Here is a 7,318-nt window from a genome sequence, read left to right on the forward strand (position 1 = left end):
ATACTAAGGTGTGAGTGATTAACAAGATGTCTATCACTAACAAGTGTCTGTCATTTTAAAGAGAAGCTAGTTTCTCCACCAGACAGCTGTCTCTAATAGGATCCTAGCTGCCTGGCAGTCCAGGCTTCATGGTGGCAGTCTCATGGGGAAAGGTGGAGAGAGAGAGAGAGAGAGAGAGAGAGAGAGAGAGAGAGAGAGAGAGACCAACCTCTCCAGCGGGCTGATTTTCAAAGGGAGGTGCCTTATCCCCACTTTCTAGTCTCTGATCAGAATGCAGTGGCACAGGGAGAGTGCTTGGAAAACCCTACAGCCCCTCTCCTATTGGCATCGTCTCACCTTTCGAGACCCTCTCTTCAGTGAGAAACCATTTTAATAAGGCTGTAATTTCGTTACAGAATTTTGTAATTAAATATCCTTAAAAGAAATGAGGCTGCAGGTCCCTATCTCCCAATTTATCATAGACTTAATTCCCCAAGTTACACAGTGTTTAATCAAGACTGTATCCCTATTATAACTTCATGCACTTTCCTGGCCTTAGAGATAGGAAGTGCTCTGAATTTCTCATGAGGGTGCTCTCTGTTCCTGGGATGTTATTGTTTACCAAATAAGTGGTGGCTTCTTAGTCAGAAGTAGCAGATCTGTCCTCACCCCTGCCCTCACCCTAGTCCTCTGGGCCCGTCTCACCCTCCGAGGTAAATCCATTCATCAGCTCTTCAGAGGGTGTCACAGTTCAGAGCTGGCGGCTTCATTTAAGGAGCAAATGTGCTCCCCCTGCTGGCTGAGGGCAGCCAATACATCGGTGTGCTGCAAAAATCACAAACCTGGTTTTTGGGCTCCCTCCAAACCACAGGTGTGAACACCTACCATGTGCTGGGTGCAGTGCTAACGGATATCAAGATGAGAAGGGTCAGGCAGCTGTCCTCAAAGAGCATAGAGTCTGCTAGGAGAGACAAAAATGTGAGTAAATATTTTACATAATCCATAAAATCATGTGTTTACCTCTATTTACTTAATTGTGGGATTGCAGAGAGAAGAGAAACTACTTCTGTCCACAGAGATAAGGGAGGCTCCATAGTGAATATAGCACTTTACCTGCATCCTGAAAAAGCAGTCAGATTTCAGAAAGTGATGATGGTGGGGATCACACAACTTAGAGTGTTAGGGGTAAAGAGAACTGAAGAATCACGTACTTTAAATGCCTCCTTTTATGAGTGAGGAAAGGGAGCTCAGAAAGCCCAAACACCCTACGTGCAGTGATGGAATAGAGAGTGGAATCCATTTCTTCTCATTCCAACTCTGGGCTCACCAGGAATTCCAGGCTGAGGGTGGATGAAAGGCAGTGTGGGTGGGGAAGTGCCAGATATGTCGGGGAAATGGTGAAAGGGGTCAGAGTTGCCACAAGAAATTCAATCGCTTTTACTGAGGAAGTGAAATGGTCTGGTTAATTTAATTTCCTAATTAGATGGAAGTTCTGCAGAAAGGCTGCTTTGTTAGAAATGTTTTTAAATTTTAAAAAACTTCCTAAAATGTTTTCTTTTGCTTTCCTGCCTTAGCAAGAAAAATGAAGGCCATGGTTAGGCCATTGATACGTCTGGTTCTTGCAGTATCTTGCAATTATTTTAGCTGCAGAGAACATGCAAATTTACAGATAGAGACCCTTGAAGGGGTTTTAAAAATCTTTAACGGCAACATATTTGCCTGCTATTTGTCTATCATCAACCACAGTGTATAGATTTATTTATCAGTGTGGGATAGTTAAATCAAGAAATCTGATTAAATGAGGGCCCTGGCTCACGTTGCTTTGGGTAATTGAGGTTTTGCCGGGTTATTAAGGTGGTCCCTGCTGAGCCCCCGCATATCTTTGCCCTTGCTCTTTGCAGGGCTGCACCAGGCATTGGTGCTTCAGCAAGGAGCCCTATAGAATTCCTGGGCTTGTTTTGAAAAGGAGCAGGCAGAACATTTCACTGATGATACTGGCTGGCTCATGCACAAGTTCTTCCCACTGGGACCCCTGCCCACGGAAAAGTATGAATAGTGGCCTTATCTAAATGACAGCCTCAAGAGATTTGACTTCAGCCTGGATGTGGTAGCCAGCTGCCCCAGATTCCCACTTTCTGATATTCACACATTATACAGGCCCCTCCTACATTATACCAGGGTCGGTTTGTATAGCTAATAAAATAGGTGATAGCATGTCACTTCCTGGGTTAAGTTATAAAAAGTCGTTGCAGCTTTCATCCTGGCAGCTTTCTCTCTCAGATCACTTGCTCTCGGGGGAGGTAGCTGCCATGTCATGAGCATCACTATGGAGAGGCCCACGTGGTAAGGAGCTGAGGCCAACAGCCAACAGTCATGTGAGTGAGCCTGGAGGCCTAGGCTCCAGTCCCAGTTTAGCCTGATAACTGCAGCCCTGGCTGACATCTTGACTTCAACTTCATGAGAGAGACTGAGCCAGAACTACCCAGCTAAGCCACTCTCAGATTCACAACCCTCAGAAATTGTATGAGATAATAAATATGTGTTGTTTTAAGCTGCTGAATTTAAGCTAATTTGTTATGCAACAATAGATAACTAATACACTAGCGAGAGATCTCCCTGGCATGGGGAACTCTTGGGGACTGCTCTTTCTCAGCACTCTATCTAAGCAGCCAGAGGTGTCTTGACATCCCGGAATCTTAAATCTAGAAGAGGCCCTGGAGTTTAGCTAGTCCAGTTCCCTCAGTTTATGGTGGAAAAAGAGAGGCCAGAGGAGAAGAGGCTTTGTGTGTAGCCAAGATGAAAATAAAAGTTGGATCTCCTGATTTGGGGTTCTGCCTTTCCTCCTCTATTTCCACTCCCACAATTAGTTGGCTTCCCAATTCATCATTTTTATTATTTGAGACATGGTCTTGCTCTGTCACCTTTGCTGGAGTGCAGTGGCGTGATCACAGCTCACTGCAGCCTTGACCTGCCTGGGCTCAGGTGATCCTCCCATCTCAGCCTCCTGAGTAGCTGGGACTACAGGCATGCACCACCATGCCCAGCTATTTTTTTTTTTTTGGACTTTTTGTAGAGAGGGAGCTTCACCATGTTGGCCAGTCTGGTCTCAAACTCCCAGGCTCAAGTGATCTGCCCACCTCAGCCTCCCAAAATGGTAGGATTACAGGCCTAAGGCCCTCACCCTAATTATTATTTTATTCATCAAATATTTATAGAGTTCCTACTATGCACTAGGTCCTGTGTTAGGCCCTGGGTCATTGTAGAGGCTCTTGGCACATGTGGGACTATGGTCAAAAGTTATCATTCGAATGAAATATGCTTATTACAATGGATATATGCTGAATAAATGAATAAGTCAGGAGACACCACGTGCTAGCTCTGACTCTAACACTGATGCCTTGGGTCTCCTTTGCCATTCTCTGTAAATGAAGCTTCCAGGCTGATATGCAATGCAAAGACTTAGATTAAGACATAAAGTCTTCAAATTTTAGAACTAGAAAAGACTTTGGCAGGCAAGTGATGTGAAATTTTAGAGGGAAAGTGATCCCTTTGAAAATCAAATGAGATATGGACTCCTTTATCTAAATACACAAAACACTATGCATACAAATGCTGGGGATTCCTAGAACATTTGAAGCCTATTTGTGGACTTCCTAGCAATCCACAGGCCAAGAACCTCACATCTGGGCTAACCTCCCATTATTTGGGGTGAGAAATCTGAGACTCAGAGAAGGGAAGAGAAGCCCTACATCTCACAGCAAATCAGTAGCAAAGTCCATGCCTGAGATCTGGTTCCGTGCTCTCCCGCCACAGACCCCTGACTTACAGGAAGCACATGGAATATGAGGAAACCAGTACTGGCTCCCGGGAACACAGAACTTCAGGATGTCACATGCTGATATTTATTTTCTGTTAATATCTCTCAGGGACAGACAGAGTGGTTCAGACAACCAACTCTGTTTCCAGTGCGAGGCTATATGGCACCTCTGGATGCCTCCTAAAATTGGGCAGTTGGAAAGCTCCAGAGATGGACTGGCAGAGCTGGTGAGTCAAGGATGGAGGGAAGCAGGAAGCAGAGGAGAGTCTGGTGGTCTGGGTACTCAACAGCGAGGCCTCAAGGACAGTCAGCTTCCCTCTGTCCACTGGCTGGTCCCTGGAGTTCAGGGGGCTCTTCTGCCATGGGGCAGTGGTGCACGGTAAGGCAGAGCCTGGTCTCTGGCTATCATGGAAAGAACTAACTTAGCATAGTGCCTGAGAGCAGGGGCACTGGTGCCTCCCTGCTAGGGTTTAGAGTCATGTTGTTCTACTTCCTGGCTGTGCCACCTTGGGCCAATAGCTAACCTCTCTTCCTGATCTCTAAAGTGGGGCCTGTGATGCCTTTACACCATAGGCTTGTGAGAATTACATGAGTTCGTTCTTGCAAAATGCTTAGAACAGAGCCTGACATATAATAAATGCCATACAAATGTATGATAATTCAGGGCATAAAATCCATACTTCCTCAGGCATCAGTTTTCCTCTGCTGGATTCTTTAGAACAAGCCACTACACTTCAAAAAAAGTTACATTTTTAAAAAATCAACTTTATCAAATTATAAATTATATGCAATCATATGTAATAATATGTACCTATTGTAATTGTACATTCAGACAAATTAGTTTTGGTAAATGTATGCATTTGTGTAACCACAACCGCAATCGGGATATAGAATGTTTTCATCACCCCCAAAACTTCTTTTCTGTCCCTCGTCCCAGTCAATCCTCCTTTATCTCCATCTCCAAATGATCATGAAATTTGCCACCAAAGGTTATGGTGGCACATCTCTGTCAATGTGCATTCGCTGGGCACCAAATATATGGATGTCTCCCAATATATGTATGCATTTGTTATATAATATATATTATATATGTCCTGCTATCAGTCTGTATCATACCCACTAGGAAAGCTTACTTCATGTTTTTTTTTAGATAAAAATAAACACAAGAAAATTATTAAGCAAATGGTTAAGATGAGAACCATTGGTGGATTGGTGTAAAGGGAATACAAGAGTTCTTTTGTACAGTTCTTGAAAGTTTTCTGTAAGATTAACATTGTACCAAAATGAAAACTTACAGCAAATTGACCTAAGCAGCAGCCGGTAGAGCTATTGTTGGGCACTTTGCACACTGTCCGTTCTCAGAATCCCCTGGAAAGTTTCTGAACCCTGCCAAAGCCCAGGCCTCGCCCCAGCTCACAGGAATCAGAAGCTCCAGGGGTGGAGCTTTGGGCATCCACTTGGCTCACAGTGAGGGAGCCAGGGTTCCTGAGGGCCATGGGCCTTGGCAGGAGAGGACTCCCTTCAGCTGGCTGAGTCCACACTGGCCTTCAGAGTAAAATCGGCCAGGCTTGAGTTTGGCTAGAGAAGAACTTGCTCAAGTCGTGGGGCAGATGTGTTTGTGAAAATGCTTTGTATCTGTAAAGCACTGTATATGTCTAAGGGCAAAAACATCCCACTTTGGGAATGAGGTAGCTTAAAAGTGAATAACGCATACACAGAATAGATGTAGAATATAAAGCGTCGGCTAATTATTAGATCACCTCCACTGCTGCAATTACTACTACTACTAGCTGGCCATCCCAGTCTGCCTGGAACTGTCCTGATTTTAGCACTGAAAGCCTTGCATCCCAGGAAAACCCTCCATTCCAGATAAACTGGGATGGCTGGTCACCCCAGAGCCTGTTAATACCCTTTCAATTACCATGATCACTTTGACTAACACTGTATTAGTCAGCTCAGGCTGCCATTAAAAATACCATCGACTGGAGGGCCTAAAATTAGAAATTTATTTTCCCACAGTTCTGGAGGCTGGGAAGCTCAAGATCAAGGTTCTGGCTGATTCAGTTCCTGGTGGGGGCTCTCTTCCTGGTTGTAGATGGTGGCCTTCTTGCTGTGCCCTCACATGGCCTTTCCTCTTGCTCACAAAGGATAAAAGGACCCCTGGTGTCCCCTCCTCTAATAAGGTGGATCAGGGCCTCAGACTTATGACTTCATTTAACTATAGCTCCTTCTGTAAAGGGCTTCTCTCCAGTCACATTGGGGGTTAGGGCTTCAACATGTAAATTTTGGGGGAGACACAAACATTCAGTCCACAACAACCACCACCCACTCTGCCCACCACCATTACAAGCATAACTGTGTAGCCAGTCTCTAGGGCTCTCTGCTTGGCTGCACCTGCCCCCGCTTGGGATAGCTCCCACTTTCACGGGCATTCCCTGCCTTTGCTCTCTTACCCTCTTCCTTGAGCTCTTAGCATGTTGCTGCTCCGTAGGAATGTTCTATGTCTTGGAACATGCCTTCTCCAGGCTGCTTGCCTGGCCAAAGGAAATCCAGGTACCTGGCATGACCAAGGAAAAGCCAGGCTTTCAAAGGAGCTGGATCTGCCTGTGCAGAAAAGGAATCCCCTAGAACCCTCTCTTACTCACAGCCTCTCCCCCTGAAATTACTCCCTCATCTACCCCTTCTCCTGGATTTGCCACAAAAATGTCCATCTCAGCAGTGGGCAGCTCACTGGCTGCATGGGGGTAGGGGGCTCCTGAAGGTTAATGAGGTTCAGGCTGCTGGTCCTCATGGAGGTCACTGTCACCCCCAGTCATGCCCCGGAGCCCTGTGCTGGCCTCTTCCTGTCGCCGGGACTTCATTAGAAATGTTAATTATTAATTATCACTAAAAGCCCTTTTTGCTGCATAGCTGTTCTCAATTGCTCTCACTATCTCTCTTTCTCCCTTTTTCTTTCTGTAACTGGATCCTGGTTCCTGGGTCTTCTGTTTTTCTTTGGGTCCTTTTCTCTGCTTGCCTTCACCTGCAGGCTTGGGAGCTGGGGTGTCCTGGGGCAAGGAGCAGCCAGGGATAGGCACCTGGACACATCCTTTTGCAGAGTCATTCTGGCCAGAGCACCCATTTCCTTCTTTCAAAGCATTGAGCACGCAAGGGTATAGAAACTGTGCAGAATCTGGGTGAGAACTGGGTCCTAATGTTCTGAATTATTTTTGATGGAAACCCAAATAACCCCCATTCTTTCCACTCTCTCTATCTTCAGCTCAGGTGCTAAGACCCACTTTTATTGGCAGACCAGGAAAGCCACCAAAAGAGATGTCATTTGAAGGCATCCTGGAAGGGTCCGCCTACCAAAAATGTTCTCTTCGTCCTGTTACGGTGTCATACTTCCACCTTAGGGAGGTGGCTTGTGGAGGGGAAGAGCACTGGAAGAGTCAGGTAGTGACTTAAGGCCCGGAGTTGTCACTATTTGCTGTGAGACCTTAGGTCACTTTCATCTCAGACTACATAGTTCAGCAAAAGAAC

General features: G+C 45.7%; 1 annotated feature.

Moving 5' to 3' along the window:
- Positions 859–918: an enhancer, noted in NCBI's record as "active region_3860". NCBI's record gives its function as "activates an Ori minimal core promoter by ATAC-STARR-seq in GM12878 lymphoblastoid cells {active_cell/tissue: GM12878}" and the evidence as "EXISTENCE:reporter gene assay evidence [ECO:0000049][PMID:35858748]".

The sequence above is a fragment of the Homo sapiens genome, chromosome 10, assembly GCF_000001405.40.
Source record: "Homo sapiens chromosome 10, GRCh38.p14 Primary Assembly".
Lineage (NCBI taxonomy): Eukaryota > Metazoa > Chordata > Mammalia > Primates > Hominidae > Homo > Homo sapiens.